This window comes from Homo sapiens, chromosome 20 (genome assembly GCF_000001405.40).
Source record: "Homo sapiens chromosome 20, GRCh38.p14 Primary Assembly".
Lineage (NCBI taxonomy): Eukaryota > Metazoa > Chordata > Mammalia > Primates > Hominidae > Homo > Homo sapiens.
Window position 1 is genome coordinate 3,139,509 of NC_000020.11, and position 20,896 is coordinate 3,160,404.

The 20,896-nt window shown below is 44.7% G+C and overlaps 2 protein-coding genes and 1 long non-coding RNA gene across 5 annotated transcripts in view; 1 reads left to right on the forward strand and 2 right to left on the reverse strand.

Annotated features, from left to right (window-relative positions):
* Nucleotides 1-11,359, forward strand: part of UBOX5-AS1 (UBOX5 antisense RNA 1) — a 43,957-nt gene extending 32,598 nt beyond the window's left edge. Inside the window, exon 7 of the long non-coding RNA NR_038395.1 lies at nucleotides 11,030-11,359. This is a non-coding gene — a long non-coding RNA (UBOX5 antisense RNA 1). The remainder of the gene's footprint in view (nucleotides 1-11,029) is intronic.
* The window catches only part of UBOX5 (U-box domain containing 5), a 52,293-nt gene extending 31,936 nt beyond the window's left edge, over nucleotides 1-20,357 (reverse strand). For all 3 annotated transcript variants that reach the window (NM_199415.3, NM_001267584.2, NM_014948.4), the window contains exon 1: nucleotides 20,258-20,357. The gene's annotated coding sequence lies outside the window, so the exon portion shown is untranslated. The remainder of the gene's footprint in view (nucleotides 1-20,257) is intronic.
* FASTKD5 (FAST kinase domains 5) lies at nucleotides 7,011-20,357 on the reverse strand. The gene is made up of 2 exons (NM_021826.5): nucleotides 20,258-20,357; nucleotides 7,011-9,752 (listed from the first exon to the last, which is right to left on the reverse strand). Exon 2 carries the CDS (start codon nucleotides 9,560-9,562, stop codon nucleotides 7,268-7,270), a length of 2,295 nt encoding a protein of 764 aa, NP_068598.1. The 5' UTR covers nucleotides 9,563-9,752; nucleotides 20,258-20,357; the 3' UTR covers nucleotides 7,011-7,267.
* Nucleotides 20,358-20,896: the final 539 nt, after the last annotated feature.

Here is a 20,896-nt window from a genome sequence, read left to right on the forward strand (position 1 = left end):
CCTCCTGAGTAGCTGGGATTACAGGCACCCACCACCACACCCAACTAATTTTTTTGTATTTTTAGTAGAGACGAGGTTTCACCATGTTTGCCAGCCTGGTCTTAAACTCCTGACAGCCTGGTCTTAAACTCCTGACCTCAGGTGATTCACCCACCTTGGCCTCCCAAAGTGCTAGGATTACAGGCGTGAGCCACTGCACCCAACCTATTTTTATTTTTTGAGACGGAGTCTTGCTGTGTCACCTCGGCTGGAGAGCAATGGTACGATCTTGGCTCACTGCAACCTCCGTCTCCTGGGTTCAAGCGATTCTCCTGCCTCAGCCTCCTGAGTAACTGGTATTACAGGCATGCACCACCACACCCAGCTAATTTTTTTATTTCTAGTAGAGATGGGGTTTCACCATGTTGGCCAGGCTGGTCTCGAACTCCTGACCTTGTCATCTGCCCACTTGGGCCTCCCAAAATGCTGGCATCATAGGCATGAACCACCACACTCGGCCTTTTTACTTTTTTTTTTTTTTTTTTTTTTTTTGAGATGGAGTCTCACTCTGTCACCCAGGCTGGAGTGCAATGGTGCAATCTCAGCTCACTGCAACCTCCACCTCCTGGGCTCAAGCGATTGTCCTGTCTCAGCCTCCTGAGTAGCTGGGATTATAGGCACACACCATCATGCCCAGCTGATTTTTGTATTTTCAGTAGAGATGGGGTTTCACTATGTTGGCTAGGCTGGTCTCGAACTCCTGACCTCAGGTGATCCGCCCACCTTGGCCTCCCACAATGCTGGGATTACAGGCGTTGAGTGAGCCACCGCACCCAGCCCAGTTTTTACGTTTAAGAAATGTATAGGCTCAAAACAAGGCACAGATAAGCCGTCTTTCTCCTGAGAGACTCAGTCTCAAAACAAGATCTACAAAGGTTTTTACTACCATTTACTCAGCACCTTAGTAACAGTGTCAGCAAAATTCTACGGGAACCCAGGTGAGGTGGCCAGTCTCTCCAACATAAAACCTGACCCTAACCCTAACCCTTTCCCTCTCCTCCATGGCCTACTCCATCTGCTCTTGCTTCTCTCCTGAATTTTCAACTTACCTCTGACTACTGAAACCTATCGTCAACATGTAAACACATTCAAGGCTCTTCTGCCAACTCCTCCCACAAAAAACCACGCTGGTTTAATGGTGCATCTTTCTTAGGGTTACCAGATTTTTTTTTTTCAACTTTTATTTTAGATTCAGGAGACACATGTGCAGGTTTGTTACCTGGGTATATTGCATGATGCTTAAGGTTTGGGGTACAAATAATCATGTCACCCAGGTACTGAGCATAGTACTAACAGTTTGTTTTTCAACCTTTGCTGCCCCCTCTCCCCTCCCTCTCTCCCATCTATTTTTTTTTTTAGGGTTGCCAGATTTTTTTTTTTTTTTTTTTTTAGACTGAGTCTCACTCTGTCACCCAGGCTTGAGTGCAGTGGCACAATCTCAGCTCACTGCAACCTCTGCCTCCCAGGTTCAAGTGATTCTCCTGCCTCAGCCTCCCAAGTAGCTGGGATTACAGACACGTGCCATCATGCCCGGCTAATTTCTGTATTTTCAGTAGAGACGGGGTTTCAACATGTTGGACAGGCTAGTCTTGAACTCCTGACCTCAGGTGATCCGCCCGCCTCAGCCTCCCAAAGTGCTGGGATTATAGATGTAAGCCACCACACCCGGCCAGTTGCCAGGTTTAACAAATAAAAATAAAGAATGTTCACTTAATCTGAAAAGTGGTGTGTGCTGAAAAAATTTTAAAAATAAAGAATATTTGCTGCATATTATATTTATTGAACAATCAGCAAACTAGGAATAAAAAATAACTTCCTCATCAGGTGTGGTGGCTCACACCTGTAATCCCAACACTTTGGGAGGCCGAGGCAGGTGGATTACCTGAGGTCAGGAGTTTTTGATACCAGCCTGACCAACATGGAGAAACCCCGTCTCTACTAAAAATACAAAGTTAGCTGGGGGTGGTGCATGCCTGTAATCCTAGCTCCTTGGGAGGCTTAGGCAGGAGAATCACTTGAACCCGGGAGGCGGAGGTTGTGGTTAGCCGAGATTATGCCATTGCACTCCGGCCTGGGCAACAAGAGCGAAACTCCGTCTCAAAAAAATAAATAAATAAAAATAAAAAATAACTTCCTCAACATGATAAAAGGTTTATAAAAACCCCATAGTTAACATCATACTCAGCCGGGAGTGGTGGCTCATGCCTGTAATCCCAACACTTTGAGAGACTGAAGCAGGAGTATTGCTTGAGCCCAAGAGTTCAAGACCAGCCTTGGCAACATAGAAAGACTCCACTCTACAAAATATAAAAATTTAGCCAGATGTCGTAGTGTGCCCACAGGTGGTCCCAGCTACTTGGAAGGCTGAGGCAGGAGGATCACTTGAACCTGGGATTTTGAGGCTGCAGTGAGCCATAATCATCCCACTGCACTCCAGCCTGGGCAACAGAGTGAGACCCTTTTTCTTTTCTTTTCTTTTCTTTTTTTTTTGCCTCAGCTACTTGGAAGGCTGAGGCAAAAGGGATCACCTGAGTCCAGGAGGTCGAGGCTGCGGTGAGCCATGATAGTGCCACTGCACTCCCAGTATGGGCAACAGGGTGAGACAGTCTCAAAAAGAAAAAAAAAAAAAAAAGGTCAGTATTGGTGGCTCACACCTATAATCCCAGCACTCTGGGAGGCCAAGGTGGGCAGATCACTTGAGGCCAGGAGTTCGAGACCAGCCTGGGCAACATGGTGAAACCCCATCTCTACTAAAAATACAAAAAAAAATTGGCCAGGCATGGTGGCTTATGCCTGTAATCTCAGCACTTTGGGATGCCAAGGTGGGCAGATAACCTGAGGTCAGGAGTTTGAGACCAGCCTGGCCAATTTGGCGAAACACTGTCTCTACTAAAAATACAAAAAAAATCACCCAGGCGTAGTGGTGGGTGCCTATAATCCTAGCTACTATGGAGGCTGAGGCAGGAGAATCTCTTGAACCCGGGAGGTGGAGGTTGCAGTGAGCTGAGATCGTGCTACTACACTCCAGCCTGGGTGACAGAGTGAGACTCCGTCTCAAAAAAAAAAAAAAAAAAAAGGTGCCGGGCTTGGTGGCACACTCCTGTAATCCCAGCTACTTGGGTGGCTGAGGCACGAGAATCGCTTGTACCTGGGTGGCAGAAGCTGCAGTGAGCAGAGATCACGCTACTGCACTCCAGCCTGGGCGACAGAGAGAAACTCTGTCTCAAAAAAAAAAAAAAAAAAAAGAAAAGTATGTGTATATACCCAATGGTAGGTGAAAGACTGGAAACATTCCCCTAAAATCCAGAACAAGACAAAGATGCCTACTTTCATTGTTTGTATTCGATATCTTATTAGAAGTTCCAACCAGAGCAATAAGGCAAGAAAAAAGAAAAAAAAGGAATCCAAAGTGGAAAAGAAGATATAAAACTGTATTCACAGATGAAAAGAGCCTATATATAGGAAATTCTGAAAAATTCACACAGCAACAAAAAAAATTATTAGGGCTAACAAATGAATATTAAGCACAATAGCAGGTTAATCATCTGTCTTTTTTTTTTTTTTTTTTTTTTTTTTGAGACAGAGTCTCTGGCTCTGTTACCCAGGCTGGAGTACAGTGGCATGATCTCAACTCAATGCAACCTCTCTGCCTCCTAGGCTCAAGTGATTCTCATGCTTCAGCCTCCTGAGTTGCTAAGGTGTGTGCCACCACATCTGGCTAATTTTTGCATTTTTAGTAGAGACAGGTTTCACCATGTTGGCAAGGCTGGTCTCAAACTCCTGGCCTCAAGTGGTCTGCCCGCCTCAGCTTCCCAGAGTGCTGGGATTACAGGTGTGAGCCGCCATGCCTGATTAATCATCTGTATTTCTAAACACTCACAATTAACAACTCATAAAAGAAGTTTTAAAAACAATTGCATCTACAATAGCATAAAAAAGAATAAAATAATTAGGAATAAAGTTAACATCGGGGTACAGTGGCTCACACCTGTAATCCCAGCACTTTGGGAGGCCGAGGTGGGTGGATCACGAGGTCAGGAGTTCAAGACCAGCCTGGCCAAGATGGCGAAACCCTGTCTCTATTAAAAATACAAAAAATTAGCTGGGCGTGGTGGCAGGTGCCTGTAATCCCAGCTACTCGGGAGGCTGGGCAGAGAACTGCCTGAACCTGGGAGGCGGAGCTTGCAGTGAGTCGAGATCGCACCACTGCACTCCAGCTGGGTGACAGAGTGAGACTCCGTCTCAAAAAAACAAAAAAAAAATTAGCCAGTTATGGTGGCATGCACCTGTAGTACCAGCTACTTGGGAGGCTGAGGTTAGAGGATCGCTTGAGCCCAGGATTTGAGGCTGCAGTGAGCTACGATCACATCATTGCACTCCAGCCTGGGTGACAGAGCGAGACCCTATATCAAACAAAACAAAACAAAAAACTAAGAAAATGTAAGATTTATACACTGAAAACTATAAAACATTCCTGAATTAAAAATCTAAATAAATTAAAAGATATATACCATGATTATGGATTAGAAGGCTTAATACTGTCAAGATGGCAAAATTCCCCAAAGCAAACGACAGATTCAATACTGTCCCTATCAAAAGCCCAAAGGCTTTTCTTGCAGAAATGGGCAAACTGATCCTAAAATTCATATGGAAGTGCAAGGACCATGAGTAGCCAAAACAATATTGAAAAATAACAAAGTTGGAGGACTCATACTTCCCAATTATGTGGTATTGGCATAAGAATAGATGAATGGAATAGAAATGAAAATCCATAAATAACCCCCCACATGTATGGTCAATTGATTTGACACAGATGCCAAAACCATTCAATGCAGGAAGAATATCCTCTTCAACAAATGATGCTGGGACAACTAGATATCCACATGCAAAAGAATGAAGTTGGACTGTTCCCTCATGCTACATATAAAAATTAACTCAATGTGATCAAAGACCTAAATATAAAGAGCTCAAACTATGAGAAAAGACATAGGGGTAAATCTCCCTGACCTTGGACTTGGCAATGGTTTCTTAAATATGATACCAAAAGCACAAGCAACTAAAGAAAAAATAATAAATTGGGCTTCAACAAAATTAAAAACAGAAAGTGAAGACAACTCACAGAATGGGAGAAACTATTTGCAAATCACATATATTGTATCTGTTACCTGTATTATGTTACTTATATATATACAATCTCCTTATGTTTGTGCTCTAACATAACCAAACCTGAATCCCACCAGACTTCCTAATATAACACATAGCATGTTTCCTTCTCATCTGAGCTACTTGCTATGAAAACCATTCTGCCTAAGCGTCAGACTTGGGAACCATTGGCCCAACAGGTGCTTGTGTAATTCTGTTCTTCTAGGTCCAATTTTAAGAAGAAAAATATGAGGGTAGGGGGAGTTTATGCAAGACAAGTAGAAATGTGAAAGAGGGAGCTAAAAGAAAAATATTAAGTTCACCAATTCTGAAATGGCTCTTAAAGCAAAAGGAATCAGCAACTAAGGACAAACAACCACATCTAAACAAGAATAAGAATTTTAATTTTAGAGCACGTGAAAAGATGTGTTGGAGGAAAAATCCTGAAATATAAGTGAAGCTTTGAGAGCCTTTTTTTTTTTTGACAGGGTCTCACTCTGTCAGCCAGGTGGGAGTGCACTGACACAATCACAGCTCTCTGCAGTCTTGACCTTCTAAACTACGGTGATCCTCCCACCTCAGCCTCCTAAGTAGCTGGACTACAGGTGTGCATCACCATGCCCAGCTAATTTTTTGTATTTTTAGTAGAGATGGGGTTTTGCCATGTTGCTGGTCTGGAACTCCTGGGTTCAAGAGATCACCCAAAGTGCTGGGACTACAGACCTGAGTCACCACACTTGGCCTTTTTTTCCTTTTTTTTTTTTTTTTGAGTTAGGGTCTTGCTCTGTCATCCAGGCTAAAGCACAGTGGTGTCATCTCAGCTCACTGCAGCCTCAACCTCCCAGGCTCAACAGATCCTCCCACCCAGCCTCCTGAGTAGCTAGGACTGCGGGGGCACACCACCACGCCTGGCTAATTTTATTTTTTTGCAGAGGCAAGGTCTCACTATGTTGGCCAGGCTGGTCTCAAACTCCTGGACTCAAGCAATCTTCCCACTTTGGCCTCCTAAAGGCTGAGATAACAGGCATGAGCCACCACATCCAGCATGAGATTCTTATTTTAAAACAAGGTATAGGCCAGCCACAGTGGCTCATGCCTGTAATCCCAGCACTTTGGGAGGCCAAGGTGAGTGGATCATCTGAGGTCAGGAGTGTGAGACCAGCCTGAACAACATGGTGAAACCCCATCTCAAATAAAAATGCAAAAATTAGCTGGGCGTGGTGGTGGGCGCCTGTAACCCCAGCTACTCAGGTGGCTGAGGCAGGAGAACTGCCTGAACCTGGGAGGCAGAGCTTGCAGTGAGCCAAGATCGCGCCATTGCTCTCCAACCTGGGCAACCGAGGGAGACTCCGTCTCAAAAAAAAAAAAAAGGCCAGACGCGGTGGCTCACACCTGTAATCCCAGCATTTGGGAGGCCAAGGCAGGCGGATCACCGGAAGTCAGGAGTTCAAGACCAGCCTGGTCAACATGGAGAAACCCCGTTTCTGCTAAAAAGACAAAAATTATCCAGGTGTAGTGATACGCGCCTGTAGTCTCAGCTACTCGGGAGGATGAGGCAGGAGAATTGTTTGAATCTGGGAGGCGGAGGTTGCAGTGAGCTGAGATTGTGCCACTGCATTCCAGCCTGGGTGACAGAGCGAGACTCCATCTCAAAAAACAAACAAAAAAACTGGCTTTAAAAAAAAAAAAAATCTGTAAGGGTGGGGGGAGGGTCTCCAGAAAAGAATAAAATTTTTAAAAATTGGCTTTATATAATGTCTGACTATACTTTTATTCTAAAAACTCTGTGACATAAGGCTGGTAAACAGAAAGAAAAATCCAACAAGGACTTACTTGACCGTAGGACATATTAAGATGTTTATTATTTACTAAGAGTAACATGTATACATTTGCAGTAATTTGTACAATCCAACTACATTACAATTCACAGTAACATACACTAGCTCTAACCTGCCTTGGATACAATTAAGTCTCCTCAACACACTATTTTATCGCCAAACTTACATTCTGGCTTTTATAATCATTTTGCAACACCTGGTACAGTATACACCTATAGCTTTGCCATAGAAATGCCCCTAAATGCCCTTCAGAGAGCAGAGGTGAATACTTTCTCATGAAGAAACGCCAACTTTTCTAAGCGAGTTCGTTTCAGTAGTGGGAGCCATTCCCAGTAGGATAACTCTACCACACGGTAGCCAAGCCGAGCCAGCTGCCGCCTCTTCATATTGTGCAGTCCAAGGAGATCCCTGGAGCCATAGCAATACTGGTTCCTGTTTGTGAACTGAACAGCCAGCTTCATTCTTGGGGTCTGCATGCAGGCTGCGGGGCACAGGCCAGCCATCTCCATGGCCCCTGATTTATCTGCTACATTGCAAAGGAAGCCCCCCAGAGGTACAGCTGCCTTATTCTCCAACTCCATGGGCTGCTGCCCAGGCTCTGACTCAGTTTTGCCCTGGAAATGTCCTCTTGCTTTCCCTTTTAGTAACTTATTCATCAAATCATCTGTAAGGCTGACTCCCACATGCTCAAGCCTTAATTTGGCTACATTTTCAGCCGGCGTGGCTTCTCTATTAAATGGTAATGGCTTCAGGTTAACATCAAGCTGGACCTCTAAGTCAGAAGATCGGGTATGAGGCAAAATCATATGGTGCTTGACGTACTGGGGCCCCCCCAGCATGGTCTCCAGTAAAAAGACAGTTTCTAAGAATTCAGGCTTTGAATTCATATCCTTCTCTGCTAAATACCACAGCAATTCAGACCCCTCTTGCTGAAGGTGAGTACTAAGACGATTGCCTCTGTAATCTGGACACTCAATGCCAACTGTACCATCGAGGGTATATAGTTCCTTAAGGAGGTCAAACTTAGTTCTCTCCTGAGCTAACCTGACAAACCCTGGACTGAGAGCGAAATCAATTAACTCTACTGGAAAGTACTCCAAAAATGCCAGGCCCAGCAGGCAGGTGGGCAGGTGTTCTGGGTACTGGTTGAATTCAGGCATCTTTCTGTGAATCTCACTTATCAGGCTGGAGTAAAATTCTTCTGCATTGGGTGGCTTATAATTCAGAGTTCCAAATGACCACAGAATCTTGGCAACATCTTTACTTCGACAGTGTGCCACTCTAGGAGGCAAAGACGCAGCCACTGCATTCATTACTCCTTCATTCAGGAAGCGTAAGGCCGAGCAGTAAAGAGTCAGGTGCATGACACCTTGAACTCCCAGGGAAGGAATTCGCTGAGGAGCTATCTCTCCAATCTGCTTCATGAAATTGATGTGATCCACGTGAGTGAAACGGAACATTTTAACAATATTCACTAAGGAGCGACTACTCAGATGCTGAATGTTAGCACAAGCCAAGTCTCCAATTTTCCGCATGACAAATTCAGAGAGATTAGTACTTGATTTAAAGAACCCCAAACAGATGGTACCAACCTCCTCCAAATTGATCAAATCTATATATTTAAGGATCAATGATTCCAATTTTTGCATTAGGTCCTGGGATACCTGACGATTTTCACCTATAACATAAATTAAGTGAACTAGCTGAGACAAGGATAGATCCTTCCAGTGCAAATTAAGATAACTAGAAAAAATGTTTAAAAACCTAGGTACTTTGCGGCCTAAGTACCTCCAGAGATCAGCCACCAAAAGGAGCTGATCCATATTCATCTCCCATACCTGATGGCAACACTTGGTCTCATACACATCTAGCATTGAATGGGAGTGAGGGATTCCTAAAATGACAAAAGCTTTCAAAACATTGATCAGATCTTGGGTATCAAAGAGCTGTATCTTCTTCACACTCAGCTGGCAGAGCAGAGCAAAGCTGGTACTGCCCAGCAAGACAGGATGCTGCTCTGCAGGCAAAGAGCTCAGCTTACACAAATAATCAACAATGACTTGAGCCTGGAGATTATTTTGATTAACTCTGACTTTGTGCAAAATTAGTTCACCTTCTGAAACAGACAGGAGCTGAGAAGTCTCAGATGCATTATAGCTGTGAACACGGTATTCTGGTCTTAGCTGTAGGAAAACTCGCATGTTTTCAAAGGAATCAAACACTTCTACGTCCTCTTCATCAACTCCTGTGGCCCTGGGTGAGCCCAGCTGCAATGTACTGGCCTTAGAGGAAGAAGTCTTGCTGAATTCCAAACCTGGGTGGGCACTGCTGGTTGTCAGGATTCTCCGAGAAGAGAAGGTGCTACATATGTTCTTAACTTTTTTGGCAGAATGGCAGAGGCTAATGTGTTCTGGAGGGTCCTGTCCCCCATGCTGTGTGCTGCTCACATTCCAGTATGACACACTTCGGACTGCACCAAAGGCAGAAGGACTGCAAAATGCTCGGTATCTTACAAGTTTTAATGACTTGAGAGTAGCTGCCATTCTGGTGTCAGTATTGATCTCTTTGGCAGTCAGAATACAGTCCTCACAGATTTGACCAGGCAATTTCTTGTTTATATGGTGCTTGATTAGAGCTGGACGGGGAGGTGTTCCACAAAAACTGCCTGGAAATCTTCAGCATATCACAAGAGCCAGGGATCACAAATGACTGGGTCAGAATTGGTGCCAGATACTGAAAAAAGGGTAGATGAAGAATGAGTGGCTTCTACCTATAAAAGCATCCAAATTTACACATTATAAAAAACAGGTTGAAACTACACTGCTGTCTACTCAAATAAGTTCAATGCTAGTAAATGCCCAAACCACATGACAGCATATATCAAGGATAAATTCTGCGGTCTGTGTAAAGGCCTAGGAAAACCCCCAACCCAGGGTACCCGTGGGCAGTTCCTGGACTGCTGCTCACCAGACTTCCTTCACTGTACAAGGCAAGCAGTGACGGCTAAAGAAGAGACGGTGCTCCGCTAACATTTGATAGGAAGAAGGAAGGCAGATTTCTAGAAAGAAGGCTGGGAACAAAAGTGAGCAACTCCTTCCATCTCTTTGATATCAAGGCAAACAGGTCCTACCTGAAGAATGTTTATAAAAACTGCTATGCTAACAGCACTAAGTAAAAAGTGGGATCTGGTATAAAAGATAATTAGTTGGCTGGGTGTGGGTGGCTCATGCCTGTAATGCCAGCACTTTGGGAGGCCGAGGCAGGCAGATCACTTGAGGTCAGGAGTTCAAGACCAGCCTGGCCAACAAGGCGAAATCCCGTCTCTATTAAAAATACAAAAAATTACCCAGGTGTGGCAGCACACACCTGTAATCCCAGCTACTCAGGAGGCTGAGGCAGGAGAATCCCTTGAACCCAGGAGGCAGAGGTTGCGGTGAGCCAAGACCGTGCCACTGCACTCCAGCCTAGGCGAAAAAGTGAGACTCCATCTCAAAAAAAAAAAAAAAAGATTTAATTAGTTATACCTACGATAACCCTCCCTGTTCTTATAGCGCAAAACTGTTAATTCCAAAATTCTGTCATTCTAATGCTGTTCTTTTACTTTTTAGAAGATGCCTACTCTCCTCTTCAGGAAGCTTATAACAGAATTTGAGTCACTATTAGAGAGTAGTCACAGAGTAATGGTGTTATTAGAAAGTATACTAAAAAACTCACTCATTTTGGTGGGAGAAAGCAGAAGGTTGAGGGTCTGCTCACTGTCACTTCACGGGTGGGAAGCAAAGAGTACCCCAAAGCTGGGCTCAGGGTTCAGGGAACGCCAATTGACGCAACTGCCCCGCTGACATCTTCTGGAGAAGGCAGCTTAGCAATGTTTCCAGTGAGTCTTTATTCTGCCTGTGAGCAGTATAATGCCCATTTTTCTCCCATGGCAGAAACCATGAGAGACTATGAAATTGATTCTGCTGTGCTCTCGCTTTCCTTAATGCTTATTCTTTTTCTTTCCACTTAAGTGCCAAAGCCTGACAAGCAAGACCCAAGGAGACCTGAGTTGTCAACTGATGTACCAGACAGGGCTGTTGCTGCAGAAAACTCCATAAAAGTTCCAAGGGTGCCAGAATGACTTTCTGAAATGCCTGCCTAACTCTGCTGTCAGCCACTTTCTTCCAGAGCCCATAGCACATCATCATTTAGTTCATCAAAGAACAGCAGGGCAGGTCAGTGGCTCTGTTCCAGTAGCCCAGCTACACAGGCTTCTCTAGATGGCAGGAACATATGTATGAATTTCTGTGTGAATCAGAGCAGAATTCTCTCACATTAAATTTTTATACACTTGGTTCTTTACTGTGGCTTGTGGACCATTCTTTTTTTCTTTTTTGAGACAGTCTCACTCTGTCACCCAGGTTGGAGTATAGTGGCATGATAACTGCAGCTTTGACCTCCCACTTCAAGCAATCCTCCCACTTCAGCCTCAGCCTCTTGAAGTAGCAAAAACTACAGGTGCACACCACCAAACCCAGTTAGTGTGTGTTTGTGTGTGTGTTTGTGTGTGTGTGTGTGTGGAGATGGAGTCTCACAATGTTGCCAAGGCTGGTCTCAAACTCCTGGGCTCAAGTGATCCTCCTACCCTGGCCTCCTGAAGTGCTAGTATTACAGGCATCAGCCACCATGCCTGACCACCTGTGGACCATTCTGCCCACCAAATTTCAATCTGTGGTTCAGATCAAGGGTGAGCAGACTATGTCCTGGGGCCCAAATCTAGCTCTTCACATGTTTTTGTAAACAAGGTTTTTTCAGAACATAGCTAGGCCATTCATTATATATTGTCTATGTCTGCTTTCCTGCTACAAGAGCAGAACTGTGTAACTGTGGCAGATTGTATGGCCTGCAAAGCATATTTAGTGTTTGGTCTATTACATAAAAAGTCTGCTGATCTCTGCTACACACTATTTCTATAAATGCAGATAGCCAGCTTTTTAAAAATTAGAAAAACTTGGCCACGCCTATAATCCCAACACTTTGGGAAGCTGAGGCAGAAGGATTGCTTGAGGCCAGGAGTTTGAGACCAGCCTGAACAACACAGCAAGACTGTCTAAAAAATAAAATAAAATAAAAAATAAATTAAAAAAATAAAAAATTTTAATTAAAATTGGAAAAACTATAGAAAAATAGTACTAAAATAATGTTTTTCTTTAATATTTAGATGATAATTGAAGATTACAGTCCTCAAAATAGTCATTAGGAAATCCAATTAATACTACAGCACAGGAAAGGTGGGAACAAAAGAGACAGCAGGATGGCCAGGCGTGGTGGCTCATGCCTGTAATTCCAGCACTTTGAGAGGCCAAGGCAGGCAGATCACTTGAGGTCAGGAGTTCGAGACCAGCCTGGCCATCATGGTGAAACCCTATCTCTACTACAAATACAAAAATTAGCCAGGTGTGGTGGCATGAGCGTGTAATCCCAGCCACTCGGGGGGCTGGGGCACAAGAGTCGCTTGAACCCAGGAGGCGGAGGTTGCAGTGAGCCAAGATGGTGCCACTGCACTGCAGCCTGGGTGACAGAGACTCTGTCTCAAAAAAAAAAAAAAAAAAAAAAGAACCAAAAAAACAGAGATAGCAGGTAACAGAACTCTCCAGCTGACAGAACAGGGCTTTTAAGAAGACCTATTTTTGGCTGGGCACAGTGACTCATGTCTGTAATCCCAGCACTTTGGGAGGCTGAGGCGGGTGGATCTATGAGGTCAGGCATTCGAGACCAGCCTGGCCAACATAGTGAAACTCTGTCTCTACTAAAAATACAAAAAATTAGCCAGGCGTGGTGGTGGGCGCCTGCAATTGCAGCTGGGGCACCTGCAATCCCAGCTACTCGGGAGGCTGAGGCGGGAGAATCACTTGAACCTGGGAGGCAGAGGTTGCAGTGAGCTGAGATAGCGCCACTGCACTGCAGCCCGGGCGATAGTGCAAGACTCTGTCTCAAAAAAAAAGAAGAGGAAGACCTACTTTCGAATTTGGAATTTAATTTAATCCACCACAATGTGCAACTAAAGCCATATACTGTTCAAATCTGTAGTCTTCATCTCATTTGAGGAAGGAGATCCTGGCCAGGCACAGTGGCTCACACCTATAATCCCAGCACTTCAGGAGGCCAAGGTGGGCGGACCACTTGAGGACAGGAGTTCAAGACCAGCCTAGCCAATATGGGGAAACGCCATCTCTACTAAAAATACAAAAATTAGCTGGGCGTGGTAGTGCGCCTGTAATCCCAGCTACTTGAGAGGCTGAGGCAGGAGAATTGCTTGAATCCAGGAGGCAGAGGTTGCAGTGAGCTGAGATCATACTACTGCATTGCAGCCTGGGCGAAAGAGCAAGACTGTCTCAAAAAAAAAAAAAAGTAGATCCTAAAAAAATAGATTTAAAGGTCCCATTTTTTAAATAAAATAGCTGTGCCATAGTAAAGCGAAAAACAGAAAATGTCTGTCTAGAAGGAGGCTGGTTTACAAGATAAATGTGTGGCAGGCATCAACACATGAAAAAGTACACACTAATATTGAGTGGAACAAATAGCACATAAACAAGAATTAACAAATATCTCTATAAATGATATTAATTTTAAAACATTAAATAATTAAAATTACTTCAATTAATTCTACCTAAGAGTACTTAATGAAATTACTATACGTGGTCTGGAAATAAAAGAACCATCTCCTAGAACATCAATGTTTGGTGCAGCTCCAGTGTTTTGAATTCATGTGACACTTTTTGATTTGTAAAAACACAGGCTAAGATCCAAGATGGAAATAACCAGAGCTATGCCTTAGGGCCTCCTCTGTGCCAAGGCTTAGAGCCTTGTAAAGCTGCTTTATCTGCATTAGTTCCCATCCTTATAACATCTCTGTAATGTAAGTTTATAATCCCCATATTACTGATGAGAAAGAGACCACAAGATTAAGAAACCTGCCAAAAGTTACACAGCCAAGGGATTGAGTGGAGCCTAATATTAAAGACTGTCTGACTCTTCAGCCCACATTATTGGTGTACTAGAGAGACAAGAATGGATGTCAGAAAACAGGTTCGGGGGGCAGTACGGGGTGGGATGGCTGAACAATCTATGGTCTTCTAGGATTTCCAGGTGCCAGGGAGCTGGAGGGTTAGAACTAGGTAAGCTTGAAAGTCCCTTCCACCTCTAACAGTCTACGATTCTATCACTACGGTTTATACTGCAAGTTGAGTATCCCTTGTCCAAAATGCTTGAGACCAGAAGTGTTTCAGATTTTAAACTTTTTCAGTTTTTGGACTATGTGCTTTATACTGACCAGTGAGCATTCCAAATTCAAAAATCCAAAATCTGAAATACTCCAATCATTTTTTTTTCCTTTGAGTATCATGTTGGTGCTCAAAAAGTTTCAGATTTTGGAGCATTTTGCATTTTGGAGTTTCAGGTTTGGAATGCTCAACCTGTACTTTAAAAAAGAACAAAGAGAAGACCTCAAAGGCTGAAATCTACATGAGGCAAAGAGTTCGCAGGATGCTCCAGGATCAAAGTAAGGAGAGCTACCACAATTGAAGACCTGAAAGTTGGCAGTAGAGATATGGGATCCAGAAACTAGGGTTCAATACAGAGAAGCAAAGGGAAATCCCAGGAAAAAGGTGAAGGAAGATCCCAGGACAAGAGCTGTGAACAGACATAAAGAGCAACCAGCTCATGCTGGACGACATAGACAGTACCCAGGAGAGGAGAATCATACTTCTACCGGATAATCCGGGCATGAACAAGAGATAAGGATACAAAAAGCCATGCTAATAAAAACAGTAACAAAAATTATTAATGCCAGGGAAGACAAAAAAGTTATACAAGATAGAATATGTTACCACAGGCAGGATGCAATGGCCCATTCCTGTAATCATAGTACTCTGGGAGGCCAAAGTGAGAAGATCACTTGAGGCCGGGAGTTTGAGACCAGCCTGGGCAATGTAGTGAGACCCCCACCTCTACAAAATATTTAGAAATTAGCCAAGCCTGGTGGCACACACCTGTGGTCCTAGCTACTCAGGAGGTAGAAGTGGGAAGGTTGCTTGAGCCCAAAAAGTTAAGGCTGCAGTGAGCTGTGATCCTGCTATGGCAGGGTGACAGAGAGAGACCCTATCTCAAAAAATAAATAAATAAATAAAAAGAGTAAAGAAAATATTAGTATATCATACTCCCTATTCAGTTGAGAATAATACTAACATAATTTTATTAATATAAATCTTGATATTAGCCTAACCAAAAATTATGAGCAAACTATATTGGGAGGATAAAGTGAGTAAGAGGAGGAGTAGGGGGAGGTTGATGATACAAGAGACCTAGAGCCTCAAAGTCCATAATAAAGAAGTACAATTGGACAGGTGTGGTGGCTCACAACTGTAATCCCAATATTTTGGGAGGCTGAGGCAGGAGGATCACTTGAACCCAGGAGGCAGAGGTTGCAGTGAACCAAGATCGTGCCACTGCACTCCAGCCTGGGCGACAGAGCAAGACACAGTCTCAAAAAAAAAAAAAAAAAAAAGAAAAGAAAAGAAAAGAAAAAATAAATATAGTGATGGCCAGGATCAGTGAGTGGCTCACACCTGTAATCCCAGCACTTTGGGAAGCTGAGGTGGGCGGATTGCTTTAGGCCAGGAGTTCTAGACCAGCCTGGGTAACATGGTGAAACCCTGTCTCTACTAAAAATACAAAAAGTAGGCTGGGCACAGCGGCTCAAGTCTGTAATCCCAGCACTTTGGAAGGCTGAGGCAGGAGGATCACCTGAGGTCAGGAGTTTGAGACCAGCCTGGCCAACGTGGCGAAACCACGTCTCTCCTAAAAATACAAAAAATTAGCCAGGCATGGTGGCAGGCACCTGTAATCTCAGCTACTCAGAAGGCCGAGGCAGGAGAATCACTTGAACCCGCGAGGCAGAGGTTGTGGTGAGGCGAGGTCGCACCACTGCACTCCAGTCTGGGCAACAGAGCGAAACTCCATCTCAAAAAAAAAAAGTGGGTCGGGAGAGGAAACTATTATTTAGTGTTACAAGCTCTACTGAACTATTTGACTGTTTAAACCATGTACATGTACAATTTTGACAAAAATTAAATTAAAAAATCCATGTATTATGAAGATATTATGGTATTGTTCAAGATAATGAATGGAGAAAGTAGCTTAATAGATAAGGAAAATGTTGAAAAGTTATTTTTAGTGCAAGCACTTTCTACTACCTAAGAACTTCTTTAAAGATGTTCAATAACAGAAATGATAACAAAATAAGGAATCTTAGAGGCATGAAGAGCCAACCTACAAATGGTAAACAGTGGCTACTTACTCTTTTCACTATGCAACATTTACAGTAACTCTATAGAAACTGTATCTACATACACAGGTCTGAAACAGAGGACTTCAGAAGTTGGTCTTGAGTACTGTGGAGAAGGAAAGAAAAACAAGGAAGATACAGAAGCAGCAGAGAAGAACAGTAGGGAGAAAAGACACTGCAAAGAAGCAGCAGTCAGGATGACCAGATAGCGAAAACATACCTGAGAAGGTTAGTTCCTCCTTACTCAAAGACTCTCAGAAAATCCATAGGAAAGCTGGAAAGAGAACACTATGAGATGCTCAGTCAATTAACTTCTGACTCTTTTTTTTTTTTTTTTTTTTGAGACAGAGTCTTGCTCTGTTGCCCAGGCTGGAGTGCAGTGGCGTGATCTCAGCTCACTGCAACCTCTGCATCCCGGGTTTAAGTAATTCTCCTGCCTCAGCCTCCCAAGTAGCTGAGACTAAAGGCTCACGCCAACATGCCCACCTAATTTTTTTGTATTTTTTGGTAGAGACGGGGTTTTGCCATGTTGGTCAGGCTGGTCTCAAACTCCTGGCCTCAAGTGATCCACCTGCCTTGGCCTCCCAAAGTACTGAGTACAGGCAGGAGCCACCACGCCCGGCCTGACTCTTTCAATAAAGGTCAAAGATACCTGATATGATTTCACAAAACTCCTTTCCTAGTTTAAGTGCCCCAAGTATACCTTTCTCCCCTTTAGGGGTCCTAACGAAACAGAGTAGAGCCTCAGACACTCCTGGACCCTGTCAGTTCCAAAAGGCAATGCCCAAACCTCCCTGAATGATGTGATTTCACAGGACTGAAGAATCTTACCTTTCTCCCTTCCACATACCGGTCTGAGCAGAGCCGAATAGCTTCATTTTAAACTAGAGTCTAGAAGTTAGAGGAGGGGGGCCAGGCAGAGGAAGGAGCGATGCTAACTGTAGACTGAGTATAAGACACCTTAAACACATACAATTTACCACTTACCAGATCTGATCCCTCAATTCTAACACTTTTCCTTTCTATGTCCCAATAAAATTGCCACAAATAAATGAACACTCCAACCCTATTCTTGTCTCAGCAAATAATTTGTTGAGCAACCTTAAGAATTAAAAAGGCAAAAAAACTGGCTAGACAGGTGGCTCATGACCATAATCCCAGCACTTTGGAAGGCCGAGCAGGCAGATCACGTGAGGCCAGGAGTTCAAGACCAGTCTGGGCTACATGGCGAGACCCTGTCTCTACCAAAAAAAAAGGGCAAAAAAACCGAACTTTCTCTAGGTGCTGAGGTATTCTGCTGAGAATCTACAAAACTTCAAAGCCCCTAGTGAGGGCTTAGAGACTGGCAGTAAGGACCTTAGCTGTTAATGTGGATGTTAACTGGGCTAGACTCTTCTGTGTTTCTGTTTCCACACGGGAGCAGGGCCTCAGAGAGGAGTCTACCAGTACTGCGAAGGTGAAGCACTAGTGCAAAGGTGTTTAGGTCAAGTTCAGTGTCACTCGCAGGTCTAAGCCAAACTAAAATTATTCAGTCTAGCAATCCATCCCTTCCTTTTTGTTCTAGACTCCATGCTGATAGGAGAAAAACAGCACATCACAAACATTTGTGAAACTTTTTCAGCTACACAGCCCTTCCGCTTCTCTTTTAAGACTCTGCTATTCCTCTATCAGAATGGCAAGAAGGATGTGGGTAGATATAGTATGACTAAGCCCTGTAGATGATTCTGTTAGAGCTACTGCTTTTAAAGGGTTTCATAAAACCCTGTCTTTAGAAAACCTCTCCATATAACAACAGGCAGTAGGCACTCATGTCCTCTCAGCCCATCTAAATGGGGCTTCTAGAGGAATTACAAAATCCAGGCAGGTAAAGAGAAGTAGCTGCATGCACACAGTCGTCATAAGAGAAAATTCCCAAATAAATGGTCCAAGTACCTATAACTGTTAGCTCAATAAACACTTGGTTTTATCTGCTTTTACAATTTGCAAGGCTGTATAGAGGCTGTATAGTACATACTTCAGACAAATAAAGAAGGAGTTTCAGAATTCTTTTGTTTTTTTTTTCAGACAGGGTCTCGCTCTGTTGTTCAGTCTGGAGGGCAGTGGTGCAATCTCCGCTCACTGCATCCTCGACCACTGCCCCCCACCTCTCACCCCGGCAACCTCCCGGGCGAGGATCGCTCAAGGATCTCAAACGATCCTCCCACCTCAGCCTCCTAAGTAGCTTGGACTACAAGCCCACCACCACGCCTGGCTACATTTTGTTTTTTTGTGTGTTTTTTTTGTTTTTTGTTTTTTTCGTAGAGACAGAGTTTCCCTATGTTGCCCCCAGGTTGGTCTCGAACTCCTGGGCTCAAGTAATCCTTCCACTTCGGCCTCCCAAAGTGCTGGGATTACAGGCATGAGCCACCGCACCTGACCTTAGAATTATTTTATATCAAAGTTGACTTATTCACATGATGAATGGCAAGGCCTTATTAGGGACTAAAAAAATAAACCAATGGATGGGGAAGAAAATCATACTGACTAATAAACATTAGACCTGCATAACTGCCAAAGGCCTCACTTTTTAAGTTATGTTATGCAGCACAGAGTCTTCAGATTTTATTTACTTATTTATTTATTTATTTATTCATTTATTTGAGACGGACTCTCGCTCTCTCGCCCAGGCTGGAGTGCAGTGGCGCGATCTCGGCTCACTGCACACTCCGCCTCCCGGGGTTCACGCCACGCTCCTGCCTCAGCCTCCAGAGTAGCTGGGACTACAGGCGCCCGCCACCACGCCCAGCTATTTTTTTGTATTTTTAGTAGAGACGGGGTTTCACCATATTAGCCAAGATGGTCTCGATCTCCTGACCTCGTGATCCGCCCGCCTTGACCTCCCAAAGTGCTGGGATTACAGGCGTGAGCCACTGTGTCCGGCCCAGATTTTATTTTAGTCTACCAGGTAGTAGCAAACTATCCAAGGACTTGCCCAGGACCATTCAGGTCAGTGAGCTACAGAATCTAGTTCTGGAAAGGCAGCCATTCTTACTATTCACAAAGTGTAGAAAACGTGAATTCAGATTCCAGCAGCAACAAATGACTGGAGCACAAAACGCCAGCCACAGTTGGTGCTAACGCAGCTGGCTATCAGCTCCACAGGATGAAGCACTGTCCAAGGGTCTGATCAGTGAAGCATCACCCAAGACTGATGAACACAGCTGATATGAGGGGACCCAAAGTTCCCTGAGTCAAGACAGAAGAGCTGTGTCACGGTTTGCACAGAAAGAGAAAGAGCAACTATTCTTACCCACGGAAAGAAAAAGGGAGAAGGCCATCAATACTACCCTTAGGCTTGTGCAACGAGAAACTGCTAAAAATGGGGGGAAGGTATATATCCTATCATACTGATGTTTACCGAAGACTCCGCATCCCAAATGCTAAGCAACATACTGTAGGGCCTTGCTACTCAGTGTGTGGTCTGCGTGCCAGAGGCTTCAGCCTCGTCTGGAATCTAGTTAGGAACACAGTTATCTCAGAACCCACCCCAGTCCTACAGAATCAGAATCTCTAAGCGATTCGCAGGCACATCAAAGTGTGATGAGAGGCGCGGCAGAATATCTGACTACATTCTCTTAACAGCACCGTGAGACAAGTACTGTTACGATCTCCATTTCACAGAGGAAAAAAAATCAAGGGTCAGATAAGCCCCCTGCCAAAGATCACAAACTCAGGAGCGGCGAGAGTCACTGAAGTTCTCACCACAGCCAGGCCTGCGAGAGGCACTGGCAACCCAGGCCAAGAGCTGAACAAGGCCTCGATGCGCTCCAGCTCTGGGCCGGCCGGGAGGACAGGAGGCACAGGCCAAGGCCCAGGACGGTCGTGAACGCGGAAAGAGGCCGCCGCGACCTCCTCCCCGGCCGCCGCCACTCACCTGATCCTCCCGAAGGTGGGCGCCGCAACACCAAACCGGGGACGCCGCGGGCGGCGGCGACACAGATACTGGCTCCTCCGGCGACTCCGAGCCTCACAGCCCCACTTCCGGCCAACTGCCCGCTACTTCCGCCTGCTGCGCGAGTGACGGATGCGGCCGAGGCTCAAAAGACTCTGTCAGCGTTTCCCAAGGACATTTTCCACTGGAGGACGTTGTTGAGGAGGCAGGGGGAGTCTAGGACCTGCAGAGGGAAAACACCTTCCTGGATGGATCGCTCTGGAAGTCATTAAGCAGCTTAGTCCCGGCGCGGTGGCTCACGCCTGTAATCCCAGTACTTTGGGAGGCCAAGGCGGGCGGATCACCTGAGTTCAGGAGTTCGAGACCAGCCTGGCTAACGTGGTGAAACCCCCGTCTCTACTAAAAATACAAAAATTAGCCGGGCGTGGTGGCGCACGCCTATAATCCAGCTATTCAGGAAGCGGAAGCAGGAGAGTCGCTTGAACCCGGGAGGCGGAGGTTGCAGTGAGCCGATATCTCGCCACTGTACTCCAGTCTGGGCACCCCTGTACTCCAGCTCTGGGACACAGAGCGAGACTCCATCTAAAAAAAAAAAAAAAAAAAAAAAAGTAAGTAGCTTAG